Below are 18,061 nucleotides of genomic sequence, written 5' to 3'. Positions count from 1 at the left end.
CCCACCATATTAAATTTCTGTAAAAAGTAAAATTATTAGAATCATTATTAAAGCATAGAAGCATTATTTTCCTACCATGTTTATTCAAAATGATGAAATACAATTCCAAAACTTGTTACATGAAAAATATTAAATATTTAAACTTTTATATTGTGGAGACTTTAATGTTTGATTTCTCTGAAATAAAATAGGAATTTTAAGGCATTTCCTTGTCTAGTTAATTTTTCCTACAAGATCATATTAATAGTTTGTCTTCCAGTAATGGTGTTCTTCTGGGTACAAAAGACGTAAGTAGGTTCTTCCTTCATTTCTGGCCAGTTGAGTTTCAGAACATGCACTTTTGTACTAATTTACTATAAAAATTAACTTACTATTAAAATGATGGGATTTTTAATCAATGATATTTTTCAAATATTTATGAAACATAAAGAAATGATAAGGGAAAATGTTAGCAAGGTTTCATGATGCTTGAAATTTAAACCATTATTGATGATATTTAGTGAAATGTGGAGTTTTGAACTTACAATGTTGATTCTGAAATTTTGGTGGTCACTCAGATTTTTAATTTCTTTTAGAAAGAAAACAAAACAAAACTAGCTGTTTGTTTAACCAGAGATAGGCACCATTATAAACACCATTACTGACTTTATGAAAAGGCATTGGTGAAAAGATCTTTTCTTTGTTTGATGCATGTCTCCTCACTAAAGCTTTCCATGTAATAAACCACATTTCAATATTCTATTCCTCAATCTTTATACTTTATATTAGAAGAGAAAAAAAGGAGAAATATCTTGCTTTTCTCTTCTTCACCTAAATATTTGTGACACCTACCTTCTAGTTAGCATGTGAATAACTGAATAATCTACAAAAATAATTTATTTCACTAAATGATGCATTTTGCAATCACTATCTTGTTTCATAAGCATATTTCGAGATAATTATTACAGAAACTTTTTTGAACTAAAAAAAAAATGTACATGCTCTTTGAATCTATTTAACCTGTTTTGACCAGAAGAGAATAAATTAAAATGATTTGTGGTGTGTGAGTGAAGTTTCTTCAAAACTACCAAAATAGTTATTACATTAAGAATGAAAAATAACATAGGCCATCAGTTTCCAATTATAATAAAATCATGAGGTTAAAATGCTTTCCTCTCTATAGGAGATGATTTTGTTACTAACATTCTGAGACCATCAGAGTAATGAACAATTGCAGTTTTCCAGCTATATTGCTGGAAGGTTATAAACAATTTTTAGGACTGGAACCAAAATAGTAAATGCTATCTAAAAAGCTTCCTGACAGTTAAGAACAAAGCCTAGTTTTCTTATCATCTTAGTTTGTAGTCCCCTCAAAATACCATGATATAAAAACTTGGATACCAGTACTTTATTTAGTAGATGATTAAAAAAAAAAAAAAAGCCAGAGAATAGGAAAAGTGAGAGTGGAAGAAAGAAAAAGCCAGCATAGAATGTGTTAATGAGTGGATTGTTGGGACTCACTTCTGCTGAGTATCCTCTGACAAACTGTGATGAATATGCTTCTGGATAGTACTACTGAGAGATGGGCATTTTTTTCTCCACAATTGCAGGTGAAGACACAAGCAAGCCAAGGAAATATTGAGTGCTTTATCCATTGTGTTGGCTACCGTCTACCTCTTGCACTGCTCAGATATGCTTACATCCAATACAGATTCTGTCAGGCCTCTGAGCCCAAGCCAAGCCATCACATCCCCTATGACTTGCATGTATACACCCAGATGGCCTGAAGTAACTGAAGAATCACAAAAGAAGTGAATATGTCCTGCCCCACCTTAACTGATGACATTCCACCACAAAAGAAGTGTAAATGGCTGATCCTTGCCTTAAGTGATGACATTACCGTGCGAAAGTCCTTTTCCTGGCTCATCCTGGCTCAAAAAGCACCCCCACTGAGCACCTTGCAACCCCCACTCCTGCCCGCCAGAGAAAAAACCCCCTTTGACTGTAATTTTCCTTTACCTACCCAAATCCTATAAAACAGCCCCACCCTTATCTCTCTTTGCTGACTCTCTTTTCAGACTCAGCCAGCCTGCACCCAGGTGAAATAAACAGCCATGTTGCTCACGCAAAGCCTGTTTGGTGGTCTCTTCAAACAGACGTGCATGAAATTTGGTGCCCTGACTCGGATCGGGGGACCTCCCTTGGGAGATCAATCCCCTGTACTTCTGTTCTTTGCTCCATGAGAAAGATCCACCTATGACCTCAGGTCCTCAGACCAACCAGCCCAAGGAACATCTCACCAATTTTAAATCAGGTAAGCGGCCTCTTCTTACTCTCTTCTCCAACCTCTCTCACTGTCCCTCAACCACTTTCTCCCTTTCACTCTTCAATCCCTCCCTTCTCTTAATTTCAATTCCTTTCATTTTCTGGGAGAGACAAAGGAGACACATTTTATCCGTGGACACAAAACTCCAGCGCCGGTCACAGACTGGGAAGGCAGCCTTCCCTTGGTGTTTAATCATTGCAGGGACGCGTCTCTGATTATACACCCACCTTTCAAGGGTGTCAGACCACGCAGGAATGCCTGCCTTGGTCCTTCACCCTTAGCGGCAAGTCCCACTTTTCTGGGGAAGGGGCAAGTACCCCAACCCCTTCTCTCCTTGTCTCTACCCCTTCTCTGCTTTTTTGGGAGAGGGGCAACTATTCCTCAACCCCTTCTCCTGCACCCTTAGCGGCAAGTCCCGCTTTTCTACGGGGCAAGAACCCCCAATCCCTTATTTCCACGCCCCAACCTCTTATCTCTGTGCCCCAATCCCTTATTTCTGCACCCCAACCTCTTTTCTCTGTGCCCCAATCCCTTATTTCTGCACCCCAACCTCTTATCTCTGTGCCCCAATCCCTTATTTCTGCACCCCAACCTCTTTTCTCTGTGCCCCAATCCCTTATTTCTGCACCCCAACCTCTTATCTCTGTGCCCCAATCCCTTATTTCTGCACCCCAACCTCTTTTCTCTGTGCCCCAATCCCTTATTTCTGCACCCCAACCTCTTATCTCTGTGCCCCAATCCCTTATTTCTGCACCCCAACCTCTTTTCTCTGTGCCCCAATCCCTTATTTCCACACCCCGACCTCTTATCTCTCTGCCCTAATCCCTTATTTCTGCACCCCGACCTCTTATCTCTGTGTCCCAATCCCTTATTTCTGAGCCCCAACCTCATATCTCTGCACCCCAACCCCTTATTTCTGTGCCCCAACCTTTTATATCTCTGTGCCCCAATCCCTTATTTCTGCACCCCAACCACTTTTCCCACTTTTCTGGAAGATAAGAACCCCCAAATCCCTTCCCTCCGTTTCTCTACTCTCTCTTTTCTCTAGGCTTCCTTCCTTCACTATGGGCAACCTTCCGCCCTCCATTCCTCCTTCTACTCCCTTGGCCTGTGTTCTCAAAAACTTAAAACCTCTTCAACTCACACCTGACCTAAAACCTAAATGCCTTATTTTCTTCTGCAATGCCGCCTGACCCCAATACAAACTCAACAGTAGTTCCAAATAGCCAGAAAATGGCACTTTGAATTTTTCCATCCTGCAAGATCTAAATAATTCTTGTCGTAAAATAGGCAAACGGTCTGAGGTGCCTGACGTCCAGGCATTCTTTTACACATCAGTCCCTTCCTAGTCTCTGTGCCCAGTGCAACTTGTCCCAAATCTTCCTTCTTTCCCTCCTGCCTGTCCCCCCAGTACCAACACCAAGCGTCGCTGAGTCTTTCTAATCTTCCTTTTCTACAGACCCATCTGACCTCTCCCTTCCTCCCCAGGCTGCTCCTCGCCAGGCCGAGCTAGGTCCCAATTCTTCCTCAGCCTCCGCTCCTCCACCCTATAATCCTTTTATCACCTCCCCTCCTCACACCTGGTCTGGCTTACAGTTTCGTTCTGTGACTAGCCCTCCCCCTCCTGCCCAGCAATTTACTCTTAAAAAGGTGGCTAGAGCTAAAGGCATAGTCAAGGTTAATGCTCCTTTTTCTTTATCCCAAATCAGATAGCATTTAGGCTCTTTTTCATCAAATATAAAAACCCAGCCCAGTTCATGGCTCGTTTGGCAGCAACCCTGAGACGCTTTACAGCCCTAGACCCTAAAAGGTCAAAAGGCCGTCTTATTCTCAATATACATTTTATTACCCAATCTGCTCCCAACATTAAATAAAACTCCAAAAACTGGAATTTGGCCCTCAAACCCCACAACAGGACTTAATTAACCTCACCTTCAAGGTGTGCAATAACAGAAAAAAAGTTGCAATTCCTTGCCTCCACTGTGAGACAAAGCCCAGACACATCTCCAGCACACAAGAATTTCCAAACGCCTGAACCATAGCAGCCAGGCGTTCCTCCAGAACCTCCTCCCCCAGGAGCTTGCTACAAGTGCCAGAAATCTGATCACCAGGCCAAGGAATGCCTGCAGCCCAGGATTCCTCCTAAGCCGTGTCCCATCTGTGTGGGACCCCACTGGAAATTGGACTGTTCAACTCACCTGGCAGCCACTCCCAGAGCCCCTGGAACTCTGGCCCAAGGCTCTCTGACTGACTCCTTCTTGGCTTGCCGGCTGAAGACCGACGCTGCCTGATCACCTCAGAAGCCCCGTAGACCATCACGGACGCCGAGCTTTAGGTAACTCACAGTGGAGTGTAAGTCCGTCCCCTTCTTAATCAATACGGAGGCTACCCACTCCACATTACCTTCTTTTCAAGGGCCTGTTTCCCTTGCCCCCATAACTGTTGTGGGTATTGACAGCCAGGCTTCTAAACCTTTTAAAACTCCCCCACTCTGGTGCCAACTTAGACAACACCCTTTTATGCACTCTTTTTTAGTTATCTCCACCTGCCCAGTTCCCTTATTAGGCCGAGATATTTTAACCAAATTATCTGCTTCCCTGACTATTCCTGGACTACAGCCACATCTCATTGCCGCCCTTCTCCCCAACCCAAAGCCTCCTTCGAGTCTTCCTCTCATATCCCCCCACCTTAACCCGCAAGTATAGGATATCTCTACTCCTTCCCTGGCAACTGATCACAGGCCCATTACCATCCCATTAAAGCCTAATCACCCTTACCCCACTCAATGCCAATATCCCATCCCACAGCACGCTTTGAAAGGATTAAAGCCTGTTAACACTCGCCTGCTACAGCATGGCCTTTTAAAGCCTATAAACTCTCCTTACCATTCCCCCATTTTAAGTGTCCTGAAACCAGACAAGGTTTACAAGTTAGTTCAGAATCTGCGCCTTATCAACCAAATTGTTTTGCCTATCCACCCCGTGGTGCCAAACCCATATACTCTCCTATCCTCAATACCTCCCTCTACTACCCATTATTCTGTTCTATATCTCAAACATGCTTTCTTTACTATTCCTTTGCACCCTTCATCCCAGCCTCTCTTTGCTTTCACTTATACTGACCCTGACACCCATTAGGCTCAGCAAATTACCTGGGCTGTACTGCCACAAGGCTTCACAGACAGCCCCCATTACTTCAATCAAGCCCAAATTTCTTCCTCATCTGTTACCTATCTCGGCATAATTCTCATAAAAACACACGTGCTTTCCCTGCTGATTGTGTCTGATTAATCTCCCAAACCTCAATCCCTTACAAAACAACAACTCCTTTCCTTCCTAGGCATGGTTAGTGTGGTCAGAATTCTTACAGAAGAGCCAGGACCGCACCCTGTAGCCTTTCTGTCCAAACAACTTGACCTTGCTGTTTTAGCCTAGCCCTCATGTCTGCGTGCAGCGGCTGCCGCTGCTTTAATACTTTTAGAGGCCCTAAAAATCACAAACTATGCTCAACTCACTCTCTACATTTCTCATAACTTCCAAAATATATTTTCTTCCTCATATCTGACGCATATACTTTCTGCTTCCCGGCTCCTTCAGCTGTACTCACTCTTTGTTAAGTCCCACAATTACCATTGTTCCTGGCCGGGACTTCAATCTGGCCTCCCACATTATTCCTGATACCACACCTGACCCCCATGACTGTATCTCTCTGATCCACCTGATATTCACCCCATTTCCCCATATTTCCTTCTTTTCCTGTTCCTCACCCTGATCACGCTTGATTTATTGATGGCAGTTCCACCAGGCCTAATCGCCACATACCAGCAAAGGCAGGCTATGCTATAGTACAAGCCACTAGCCTGCCTCTTAGAACCTCTCATTTCCTTTCCATCGTGGAAATCTACCCTCAAGGAAATAACTTCTCAGTGTTCCATCTGCTATTCTACTCCTCAGGGATTATTCAGACCCCCTCCCTTCCATACACGTCAAGCTCGAGGATTTGCCCCCACCCAGGACTGGCAAATTAGCTTTACTCAACATGCCCAAGTCAGGAAACTAAAATACCTCTTAGTCTAAATAAACACTTTCACTGAATAAGTAAAGGCCTTTCCTACAGGGTCTGAGAAGGCCACCACAGTCATTTCTTCCCTTCTGTCAGACATAATTCCTCAGTTTAGCCTTCCCACCTCTATACAGTCTGATAACAGACGAGCCTTTATTACTCAAATCAGCCAATTAGTTTTTCAGGCTCTTAGGGTTCAGTGAAACCTTCATATCCCTTACGGTCCTCCATCTTCAAGAAAAGTAGAACGGACTAAAGATCTTTTAAAGACACACCTCAATAAGCTCAGCCACCAACTTAAAAAGGACTGGACAATACTTTTACCACTTTCGTTTCTCAGAATTCAGGCCTGTCCTCAGAATGCTACAGGGTACAGCCCATTTAAGCTCCTGTATAGATGCTCCTTTTTATTAGGCCCCAGTCTCATTCGACACCAGACCAACTTAGACTGTGCCCCAAAAAAACTTGTCATCCCTACTATCTTTTGTCTAGTCATACTCCTATTCACCATTCTCAACTACTCATACATGCCCTGCTCTTGTTTTCACTGCTGGTTTACACTGTTTTTCCAAGCCATCACAGCTGATATCTCCTGGTGCTATCCCCAAACTGCCACTCTTAACTCTTGAAGTAAATAAATAATCTTTGCTGGCAGGACTATGCTGAATCTCCTTAGGCACTCTCTAATCAGATATCCTGAGTCATCCCAATTCTTAAACCTTTTATGCCTGTTTTTCTCCTTCTGTTATTCCATTTAGTTTTTCAATTCGTACAAAACCGTATCCAGGCCATCACCAATCATTCTATACGACAAATGTTTCTTCTAACATCCCCACAATATCACCCCTTACCACAAGGCCTCCCTTCAGCTTAATCTCTCCCACTCTAGGTTCCCACGCCACCCCTAATCCCGCTTGAAGCAGCCCTGAGAAACATCGCCCATTCTGTCTCCATACCACCCCCCAAAAATTTTCGCCGCCCCAACACTTCAACACTATTTTGTTTTATTTTTCTTATTAATATAAGAAGGCAGGAATGTCAGGCCTCTGAGCCCAAGCCAAGCCATCACATCCCCTGTGACTTGCATGTATACACCCAGATGGCCTGAAGTAACTGAAGAATCACAAAAGTGAATATGCCCTGCCCCACCTTAACTGATGACATTCCACCACAAAAGAAGTGTAAATGGCCGGTCCTTGCCTTAAGTGATGACATTACCTTGTGAAAGTCCTCTTCCTGCCTCATCCTGGCTCAAAAAGCACCCCCACTGAGCACCTTGCAACCCCCACTCCTGCCCGCCAGAGAACAAACCCCCTTTGACTGTAATTTTCCTTTACCTACCCAAATCCTGTAAAACGGCCCCACCCTTATTTCCCTTTGCTGACTCTCTTTTCGGACTCAGCCTGCCTGCACCCAGGTGAAATAAACAGCCATGTTGCTCACACAAAGCCTGTTTGGTGGTCTCTTCACACGGACGTGCATGAAAGATTCCACTCTGTCGCTGGCATTTCAAAATAGTGGCTGTACTCAGTATCTAAAATAAGAGCTTAAATTAAGATTGTTAGTGAAATGTATCTGCTGCTACAGATTAGATGCCATAATCTATATTCAACCTATATTCAATGTCTTCTTTCTCTACTTCCCATTTCGGAGACCATTCATCTTAGTGGGATTGTTACTGTCTAGGTCCATTTCCTCGTGGGCACAGATCTTTGTTCCTGAGGTTTCTACGCCTCTCAATACTTTGGTGTTCTCAGTCCATGATTGCTAAAAATGCTCACTTACTCTCATCACAGAGAAAGAAGCACTAGGGGATATCCCAGTGAATTTCTCACATTCCAGACTCATGTCCTCCATGCCCTGATTCAGGAACAGCAACTCTAGCACCTCATTGTGGCAGTTATAAGAATACACCTTGCAGATCTCTGCAGGTGCATTTAATTGTCTGAGCTCTGAAATTAAGTCCATGCTTCCCATGGACTATTCCCAGCCAATAATTTACCAAGTAAAGAATACTAAGGTAAATCTAGTCATAGGAGGTAGAGGACTCCTCTGACAAGCAAATTTGATTCAAGGACTCCCTAACAGCCTTGCCAATCTCTATTATAATTGTGTTGAATCTGAGATGCTTCTACCCAATCTTCTCTCTCCTTTAACTAGGATTAGATCTTCATCAAAGTGTCATTGCATTGCCAACTTCCTTCTTACTCTTTCCCAATTTCCCTCACAATTATGGCGATTTTAAATATATGGCAAATGGCTAATCCTCTCTTGGTGTCTTTTTCTTGGAGGACCTGACACAACATAAGTGATACTATGACAGCAAACTTTATAGAAGATTCCATAGCAAAGATAGAGGAGGGTGACTGTTTAAAGCAGCAGTATTGAACACTTGCTGCACTTATGAGCATCTCCAGAAGGCCATCTGAACTTCAGAACTCCCGCTGCTCCAGTTTTTTGAGGTCGTTTTTGCAACCTAATCATCACAATTCAACTTCTTCCTTTTTTCAGTTCTGCACTGTCATGGCCTTTCTGGTGTAGTTCCTGACAGCACTCTCCAATCAACCCCCTGTAAGGCAATCTCATTTTGGGAAACCCAACCTATGACTGCAATGCAAACATTCTTTTCTACCTTTGTTATAGAATCTTTTATTAAATTGACATTGCTCATGAATGCTTTTAAGATGATTTTTTTTTTTCAAAATTTGAAAAAGCGTTGAACTTCATATTTGTGTTTAGGCCACACAGACAAAGCCCTGAAGGAGCCCTGAAGAGAAAGAGATCCTTCGAGAATGAGTGTTTGTGAATTTGCACAAATTGATGAAGCTTAGGGTTTCCCCAGTCATAGGCTTTGGAAGGGGTTGAGGAAAGAATATTATGGTCAAAGAAGTCCTCAAAAGACATCAGACTATAATAATTTTATGATAATAAATCTATTATGTTAAATTGTTAGGGGATCTATCAAAATATTGTTATGTGTTTGGAGCCAGAACACCACTGGGAAATTAAGGCTAAAGTTTAGGCTTGGATATTTTCTACTTGGAGATTGGAGTTGAGGCCATAAAAAGGAAAATATGCTTTGAAAGAAAATACTTAGTTCTAAATTTCTGACAACCTTCTCTACATTTGCAACGCTAAACTTGCTCTGACATTCTTCACTTTTCCTTACTGCTTTGTTATCATATTTTGTACTTTTTACCATGTAACCTATTGTATATTTTAGTTATTAATCTTGTATATTGTTTGTCTACCTCATCTATAATGTAGTTTCAAAAAGGGCAAGGTTTTCTCTTTATATCACTATGAAATTCCCAGAACCTGGAATAATATCTGGCTCATATTCGGTTCTTAATAATTTCATGAGAATAAATGAATATGAATGAATAAACAAATTTCAAAAGAGTTTAGATAAGAGAGTTATATAACAGAAGCCAGCCTTTTTACTGAAGTAAAATGAAATTTATTTTTCTAAGAAAAAGGATTACTGTACCCTGATCTGGAATTTAAGTAAGAAAGATGAGTTTTACTCTTGCTTATATGTGAAATATACTAAGACAGTGCTTTTAAAACTTCATTGCACTTACAAGGCAATCTTGCTAAAATGTGTATTCTATTCCAGTTTTTCAAGTGGTACCTGAGATTCAGCACTTCTAAAAAGCTCCAAGGTGATGAAGGTGCTGCTAGTTGGAGGCCATACTTTGAGTTGCCAGATGCTAAAAATTCAACAGATGGGGTATGTAAGCAGATAGTGTAGCATATTGAAAACAACTCTCAGTTTGAATCAGAAGCCTGGGTCTGTGATATTATGACACTAACTAGCTTAATATTTTGTGGATTATTGTGCATGAAATATATCCATTTAAATATCATACTTTCAATTTAAATTATGGGTTTCAACTTTGCCAGGCAAATATAATCAACAATATATTCAATAGTATGCCACAGCTAAAGACACAAATGAAAACAATGATCTCAGACTTTTGATCCAGGTGCCAAGTTAGAAAAAGAAGTTAAAACAGTGTAGTTTATTTCTGTTCAATGTCCTGTATAGGTGGAAACTAATTTCAGGGTTAATTTTTGGTTAAACAACTAGCTTGGAAATTTATAATTATTTGGGATTGAGGACCAAACAAGGTGAGGCACGATAAAGAAATTAGAAGGGGATCGCTATGAAAATCAAGATGAATAAAACGAAGGGAGTGTTTACGGCAAAGTAAAAAAAGAGGCATCAAATTTTAATTCACTGCTGCAAAGTAGAGCTCTTATATCTATTGCTGATGTAAGGAGACAATCTGGATTATACTGTGAGAAGGAAAGCATAACAAACAACAATCCTTGACAGTATTCAGATTAACAACCTTGTAGTTGAGGTTGTTGGTACAACCAGTTAAATGAAGAAAAATTAGGTGAGACAAGGATATATATTAAGTATAAGACACAAAGTTAGAAAAAATATACTGTCTTTTTTCTCTTTTTATCTGAATATGTAACTATTCTAATCTGAAGCAGATTACATGGTCATAATTGATTTAAGACTAGAAGCATAAATTTTCTCTTTTGAATTCCATCAGAGTCTACTCTGGCATTCCCTCCTATGTACGCAAGGGTTTGTAGGTAAAGATTGAGGGCGCTTAACAAACTAAGTAAAAAGAAACATATGTTACTGTGTATGTAAATTACTATTTTTAGAAGATATTCTTAATAGTTTCTTCTTAATACTTGTTAGTAATTATCAAAGGGCATTTTTCCAATTTTCCACCTTCCCAATTTATTAGAATTTTGACTTGTTTCAATGATTTTACACCCAGAAGTATAGCCTATAAGACAAAATAAATATTTTAATTTATTCATGGTCACTATTTCTTATCTGCAAATTATTCCTTACTACTCTTCCTTAACTTTTTAGTTATATTTTATATGTTAATGAGAAAGCAAAATACAAATATTTTCTGCATTACAATGCAGATGTCTTGCTACTTTTGCTCTATGACTATGAATTTTGAAATCTCATCAAAATTTGAATTTGTTTTTCTTATTTTATAATCCTGATTAAAACACAGAATAAATAAGCACTCCCAAGAACATTTTTGATGTCATTTTCTTTACTTATTCGGCCTGATTGCCTTTAGGAGAGTGATGTCAAATAAGAATCGAACTTTGAAAGTCTTAAAGCAAACATATACAAATAACATGATTATGAGATTGCATTTTTTAGGTTGGCAATGCAGATTCTGGTGGTTAAAGATCCTGAAGTTTTTCACAGACAATTTGTCACCTCTGAAAGAGATAACAGGTTGCTTCAAAGCTTTGATTGTCTGTGATAGAGAAATTAGAAAATTGAGCACCACTTGATGAAACAGCTGAACCAATTTTATATTTCCAATTCATTTTCTCACAAATAATGCTTGAAATTAAGGGCATAAATAAGTAAAAAATGAGCCAAATTGTTTTTACATTTATTTAAAAAAATAGAAATTGAGAAGTGAGTTACTTCTTTAATGCACAGCTCTGTACTGGGAGAAAATTTCTGTTTAAGAAACTTAATGGAAATGTGTAATGAAATTATCTTACCACCTTTCAGTGAAAATATCCTTAAATTATTTTGCCCAGCAAAATCCTTTGACAGGGACAGAAGAATGACAAGTAGTTTGCTCCCCTCCCTCTCTGCCCTTTGGTAATTTTAATTTTTCTACTCTACATTTCAGTGGAGCAGGTTAACATCTTAAAAATTAATTTATAGTTAAAAATGGTTATTTATATTATTTCTTCATCTCTGAATTTAAAAAATTCTGAGGTATTATTTGAAATTTTGATAAGATCCTAAATAAGATTCAACTCTTGCACAAAAGAATTAGAAATATTTGTTTTATATCTTAGCACAGTAAAAAAACTTCCTGATTGAATTAAGTGGCTTCCTGGGTCACACCTGATTGCCTGAATATGTTAGTACATCTCTAAGTTTAGTGATTCTAAATATTTGAAGCATATGACAAAGATAAAAGTCATTATCAGTGAGTATCATTGGTTTACTCTTTAATGTCAAAGTATAATTATCAAAAACGTAAAGCATGACTGTCATACAAATATACAGTGATCACATTTCAAAGATTTTGTTCAACACATAAAGGAGGAAACCAGTGAGATGAAAAATCTGATCCAAACGAGAATTAGAAAAACAAAGATTATATAGTACAGACTTTACATAAGTTCAACAAGATAGTTAGTGTCCTACAGGGCAATAAAACCATAACTTTTGTGATGGTATTTAGCAGGAGAAAAAATTCAGACAAGTTCTGCAAATTAGTATGTAACTTTGAAGTGTCCGAGGTCTTAACTTTTTAGTAAATTTCAAAGTCACATGAAAGTACATTCCTTTGGAAAATTAAGTATTCTTTGGGTGATCCTGTTAAACAGCTTTTCAGTATGATACTGAAATGAAATGCTGAAATATCTTATAATAACATTTCTAAGTTTTAGATAATTTCTTAATACTAATTTCTAAACCAAACTTTAAAATGTGATTAAATTAAAAATCTTATGTGTATAGATTTGTGTGTGTATTTATTTATGTGGGAGTATAAAAAATACCTGATTTTTGATATTTGAATTTGAGAGTAACAGTGTTTGTGGATAAATTAATCATAGAAAATTAGAGCCTTGCTTGAAAGAAAATGACATGATTACACATCCTGTGGAAAAAAACATTCCAACATAAACTAAAAATTTAAAAGCAAAAATATAAAAGTTGATTGAGATATTTATTTAAATATCATTGGACTTAAATCATGTGAATGGGGCAGACCCTAATATTCTTTCCCATCAGCCACTCCCTCTTTTTCCCTGTCAAGTCTGTAATTTGGTTGAAGAATTCAAAGATACTGTGGTCAGGGCATTTCAGTTTCTTCTCAGGCCCAGGAAAATAATGAAGAATTGGTCAGAATCTTAAATGGTATTCCCATTTCTTTTTGCTAATGATTGCTGTAGGAGTGGCCAGGAAGATGTGTGAAATGAATTGTTTGAAAAGTTCCTCCCCCAAATGAAAGAAATGCTAAAGCAAAAATAACATTTTTGTCTTCCACATTACTTTGTGATCTGTGATACTTGAATAGCAATCCTTTGGCCATAAGGCAGAAGAGCATCAGGATAAAAACCAGCATGCTCAGGATGGCAGAACAGAAAGTTGTAAGAATCTGAGTTTTCATGAAATAATTGTGCTAACCTTCCAACTTTGTTTTATGAAAATAATATTTCTTGTTTACGTCAATTTAGTGTTCTGTTATTTGCAAATATTAGTATTCAAATTGATGTTAATATTTTTAAACAGTATATGAGTATAAATAATAACATGAGATATTGGTATTTAATAAAACAAATATTTAGAAAAATAATTGTAGCATACAATTCTTAACTCCACTTAATTATTTTCCCCAAAATAAATGCAGTTACTTGGCCACATCTGCTGAATAAATGTAATGCAGATGGAAGTTACTATTTGGAGTTATCATCATGTAATCTGGATAAATCTTATCAATAAATCTCATTTATTATTTAATGAAATGTTGGCACATTATTCTTTTTGCATGAACCAGATCATTGTTCAATGTTTTACTTACTTTTGTTGCATTTTTTTCCATGTAAGCAGTTGAGAAACTTGAGACCTTGGCCTGAGCTTAATTCTTTATTTCTCTTTGTTAAGTGGAGACTTGACCTTAACCTCTGTTTCTAAATACAGCATTGTTTTTTCTTTCCATGGCTACTGGCCATGATTTTATTTACTGGAAAAAATAGAACCCTAGGAAAAAAGGGAAGGACAAAATCGAGACTGAGCAAGCTGTAGAGCATTGATTCTAAGTGCCAGGGATGGCTTATAATCAGTACAGTTGTTGTGGTTTCTGGATGCTTATTTAATGTTTTCTTATCAAAAGAATAATTCTCTCATGTGTAGTTTCTGAAATGTGACAGCACTCCAGCACTTTGTTCTAAAGCAAGGATAGTCTTCTCTCCCCACAGAATGGTTTATTATTGTCATCATCATCATCATCACCATTACCATCTCAATTATTTAAAATATTTTCTACTTTACTAAAATTTATATGAAGTGCTGAATATATAATTTCCTCTTTAAGTACCCATTTTATGATTTTGATTTCTAAAGCAATTTCTCCTGACCTTTTAGTTATATTTTCTTCTACAAAGAGGCAAAGTTTAATTTTTTCTCTCATGTGAAATACACTCCAATCTATATTTAGTAGAAGGTAGCTGTGGAAACATTAGCTATGAATGTTTTGATTCTTGTAAATTATAAAATAAAAGTATAATAACGTAGGCTTATTCTTTAAGTTCCACTGGGGAGAGATTTTTGGTTTAATATTTTAGAGGTATTTAATTTCTAATAGAGGAAAATACTTGAAGAGAGGGGAGTTGTAATACATTTATCTGCATGTATCTTCTTGTTAGCTGTGATGAAATATTACAACAGGACCAATATAATTATTTAAAGGTATGATCATAAATCACTCATAACAGAGCAGCATCCAGCAGGCTAAACATCAAGTGAGGGATTATTCGTATTTGCTAGTGATTCATTTTAACAAGAAGGTAAACTGGTAGCTATTCCAGTGAGAAGTGGGATTAACTTGCTTACTTATAGAAGGGTCCAGTATTCTCTTAGGAGGAAGCCTGCAGAAATACTGGTCTATCATAAAAATTTCATGAGGGCAACATAAACGTATTTCATGACCGTAGACTTTTTTTTTTTGCCAGTTTGACATCCAATAATTAAATCATTTGTGTCCCTTTTAGATCTCCACAGTAAAACTGAGCTTATAGATATTCCTAACAATTTCAATTGTCCTAATTGATAAAGAGTTTGCATGAATAATACAATTATGCAAAAATAACATTTTTGTTTATAAAAATATGTCACCCTTCACTCAATAATTCTTTAAGCATACACTGTCATTAGCCCACAAATTGCAGGGCTGGACTATATTTTTTTTAATATTGTGGTAGAGAAGTTTGAAAAGAATACAGAAAACTCAGTGAATGAATAGAAGCAAAGTTTCTAAATAAGGACAGGCACTAACATCTGTACCTCTTTATACGTATCAGGTTGAGAGGTATTTTTTACAAAAAGAGGCTGAGGTATAGAATAATGGGACTAGACCATCAACTCTGAAAATTTCTACTCCACCAGATAGATTTACAACATGATCCTACCAGGAAGTGTGAGGTCCTAGAAAGAAGGCTTCTTACTTCCTTCAACATCAGAGTATTTTCCTGTTGCTAGAGTTGTACTGTATGCCAAAATGGTAGGCCAAAGAAATATTGTTCCTTATGGGTGATTTACATTTGGGAAAATTAATGCCTTTATTGTTTAAAAATTGATCATGAGATACTTATCTACAGAAAACATTCCACTGTATCTGATGGGGCTTATGCCATCATTCAACTTGATGAGTTCAAGAAACATTTGTAAAATCATTATTACCAAATTAAAATACAAGTAAAAGAGAAGCCATTGGACAAATCCTTAATGTCTCACGGTCTCATGAAATTTTTTTCTTTAATTCCTGTATATTATTTTGAATATGAAATTTCTATTTTTCCTCTTTATCCAGAGTAGGATTTAATGGCATCAAGATTACAGCAAGAGTGTCGTCAATGTCTGAGAGAAAAGGCACAGGACAATTCATGTAATCTACTTTTTACCTCCTCACTATGCCAGCAGCACACTTGGAGAGGAATGTTATAATGGAAGAAGCTGCCCAGTCACTGATTAAAATGTAAGAAACTGTGCTCCATTGCAGACATCTCCTGTTATGCGTTCATGAGCATATATGTGTTCTAGTATGTGTAACCTTTAAGACAATGATGGAATTTGAACCATACTTTAGGACTGACACAGGTAAGAGAGTCTTGTATTAATAAGCTTCAAAATATTTTATTGTAACTTAAATTACCTCAGCAATGATACTGGGGTAGTCAGAAAAAAAATTCACCTAATTTTGAACTGATTTTTTTTAAACTTTAGTAGCTTTGTGTTAGACAGATAATGTAATCTGAGTTTCAATTAACTTATTTATGGTATGGTAGTAAAACTACCCTCTACACAGTGCTCTTGATAGAGTTTTTAGATATAAATAGTTTCTGTGGTGGAAGGATTTGTTTTGCCAGTTGAGTCACATGTAATGTTTGACAAACATAAGAAGATATTTGAGATGAAAAAATGATGTTATATAAAGGCACAGAAAGAGAAAATACAAGTTTGATTGAAGTAGAGGGCTTATAAAAGGAAAATAAGTGTTAAAAGTGAGCTTTGGGGCAGATTGTGGAGTGCTTCATACAGATTGGGATCTATAGGAGTCTAACTGGCTACTAGACTTCTTGAGACATAAAATGATTGATTTAACTGGAAGCAATATGCATGTTAGAAGGGAGAAAAAACTTCTAACGGAGGTAGCAGTTCAATTAGGAAGCTATTATTGTGGTAAATGCAGCACTGGATTGCAAGTGTTAGCTCTTAGTGTATTTTTGACAATGATTGGTCTCTCAAGACTTTAGTTTCTTCGACTATTAAGTAAAAGCATTTACATTAGATGAATTCTATAATTTGGTATGACTTCTAAATATGACTCCTCCATAATATGGACTTGAATTTGAGTAGTGACAATCCAAAGACAATGGGAGATAAAAATGAAAAGCAAATACTTTTGTTATAGCAAGCAAACAACAGCAAAAAAACACATGGAAACAAAAACTGTAAAACTTGGTTACTTACTGGGTATATGTTTTTGTCATTTCACAAGATATTTTAAAGCAAATACTTAGCTCATAAATTATTGTTAATTACTAAATATATTTCTGATATTTTCAGTTTTTCCTTTTTCCTCTGCTTTCTTTTTCTTCTTTTTAATATCATGTTTCCTCAAAATTTCTTTCTGAACTATAAACCAATTTAGAAAAAAATCTTAAAGTTTGCCTTTGGGCTGTGACTAGTAATACAGGAGAATTTTTCAGAAGTTTATGAGAAGTGAAAAAGGGGTAAAAAGAACAAAAAATAACAGACCTTACATCCTCACCAAGTACTCCTGGGATTTCATGCAATATAAAATAATGTTATAAGGGAAAAGCACGGAAGCATTTATAAAAGTTACGAAATAGTATTTTTGAGGAAGGATGATAAAAATTTTACAATAGTTCTTTTATTTCATGTGAATTCTTTCTCATTCAGAATTTTGATAACCTAAAGATGATTGTATATTTTGGCTTAATCTCTGTAAATGTAAACTCAGCCAAGTAAAATATATATCCTTTCACATAAGCGTAGCCTCCCTTAAATTTAGAATATTTATCGTAAAGAAATATCAGAAGTAAATAGAATTTCTTTTCTAGAATAAAGAATACAGAGATGGAGTGAAGTAAGTACAAAATGCATGAGTGAATGAAGGATGGACACCATTTTTTTAAAAAATGTATAAGAGTGATATCTTTCACCCATCCTCTGGGGAAAAAAGTGAAGAGAGGTGCTTGAGTGGTAGTATGGTAGCTTTTTCTCTTGCCATCACCAGCACAAGTGAAGAAAAGCCACAGTGTGTGTAACTGCTCTCTTAAGACTCTATTCTCAGAAACTAAGATTAGTTTACAATGTAATGCTTATCAGTTTCTCTGTTTCCAACTTAAAACAAAGTAGAA

At 37.3% G+C, this 18,061-nt stretch overlaps 1 long non-coding RNA gene across 1 annotated transcript, besides 5 other annotated features; it reads left to right on the top strand.

Moving 5' to 3' along the window:
- Window positions 1,148-2,053: an enhancer, noted in NCBI's record as "OCT4-NANOG-H3K27ac hESC enhancer chr4:93198441-93199346 (GRCh37/hg19 assembly coordinates)". NCBI's record gives its function as "activates a minimal SCP1, AML or CMV promoter by ChIP-STARR-seq in naive and primed H9 embryonic stem cells {active_cell/tissue: H9 hESC(naive and primed)}" and the evidence as "EXISTENCE:reporter gene assay evidence [ECO:0000049][PMID:30033119]".
- LNCPRESS2 (lncRNA p53 regulated and ESC associated 2) lies at window positions 2,041-16,845 on the top strand. The gene is made up of 3 exons (NR_125920.1): window positions 2,041-2,293; window positions 9,987-10,100; window positions 15,988-16,845. It is a non-coding gene; the product is annotated as a lncRNA p53 regulated and ESC associated 2 (long non-coding RNA).
- Window positions 2,054-2,961: an enhancer, noted in NCBI's record as "OCT4-NANOG-H3K27ac-H3K4me1 hESC enhancer chr4:93197533-93198440 (GRCh37/hg19 assembly coordinates)". NCBI's record gives its function as "activates a minimal SCP1, AML or CMV promoter by ChIP-STARR-seq in primed H9 embryonic stem cells {active_cell/tissue: H9 hESC(primed)}" and the evidence as "EXISTENCE:reporter gene assay evidence [ECO:0000049][PMID:30033119]".
- Window positions 4,778-5,683: an enhancer, noted in NCBI's record as "NANOG-H3K27ac hESC enhancer chr4:93194811-93195716 (GRCh37/hg19 assembly coordinates)". NCBI's record gives its function as "activates a minimal SCP1, AML or CMV promoter by ChIP-STARR-seq in primed H9 embryonic stem cells {active_cell/tissue: H9 hESC(primed)}" and the evidence as "EXISTENCE:reporter gene assay evidence [ECO:0000049][PMID:30033119]".
- Window positions 5,684-6,591: an enhancer, noted in NCBI's record as "H3K27ac hESC enhancer chr4:93193903-93194810 (GRCh37/hg19 assembly coordinates)". NCBI's record gives its function as "activates a minimal SCP1, AML or CMV promoter by ChIP-STARR-seq in primed H9 embryonic stem cells {active_cell/tissue: H9 hESC(primed)}" and the evidence as "EXISTENCE:reporter gene assay evidence [ECO:0000049][PMID:30033119]".
- Window positions 7,500-8,407: an enhancer, noted in NCBI's record as "OCT4-NANOG-H3K27ac hESC enhancer chr4:93192087-93192994 (GRCh37/hg19 assembly coordinates)". NCBI's record gives its function as "activates a minimal SCP1, AML or CMV promoter by ChIP-STARR-seq in naive and primed H9 embryonic stem cells {active_cell/tissue: H9 hESC(naive and primed)}" and the evidence as "EXISTENCE:reporter gene assay evidence [ECO:0000049][PMID:30033119]".
- Window positions 16,846-18,061: the final 1,216 nt, after the last annotated feature.

This window comes from Homo sapiens, chromosome 4 (assembly GCF_000001405.40).
Source record: "Homo sapiens chromosome 4, GRCh38.p14 Primary Assembly".
Classification (NCBI taxonomy): domain Eukaryota; kingdom Metazoa; phylum Chordata; class Mammalia; order Primates; family Hominidae; genus Homo; species Homo sapiens.
Note: the sequence above shows the minus strand (reverse complement) of the source record. Positions and strands in the feature narration are given on the sequence as shown.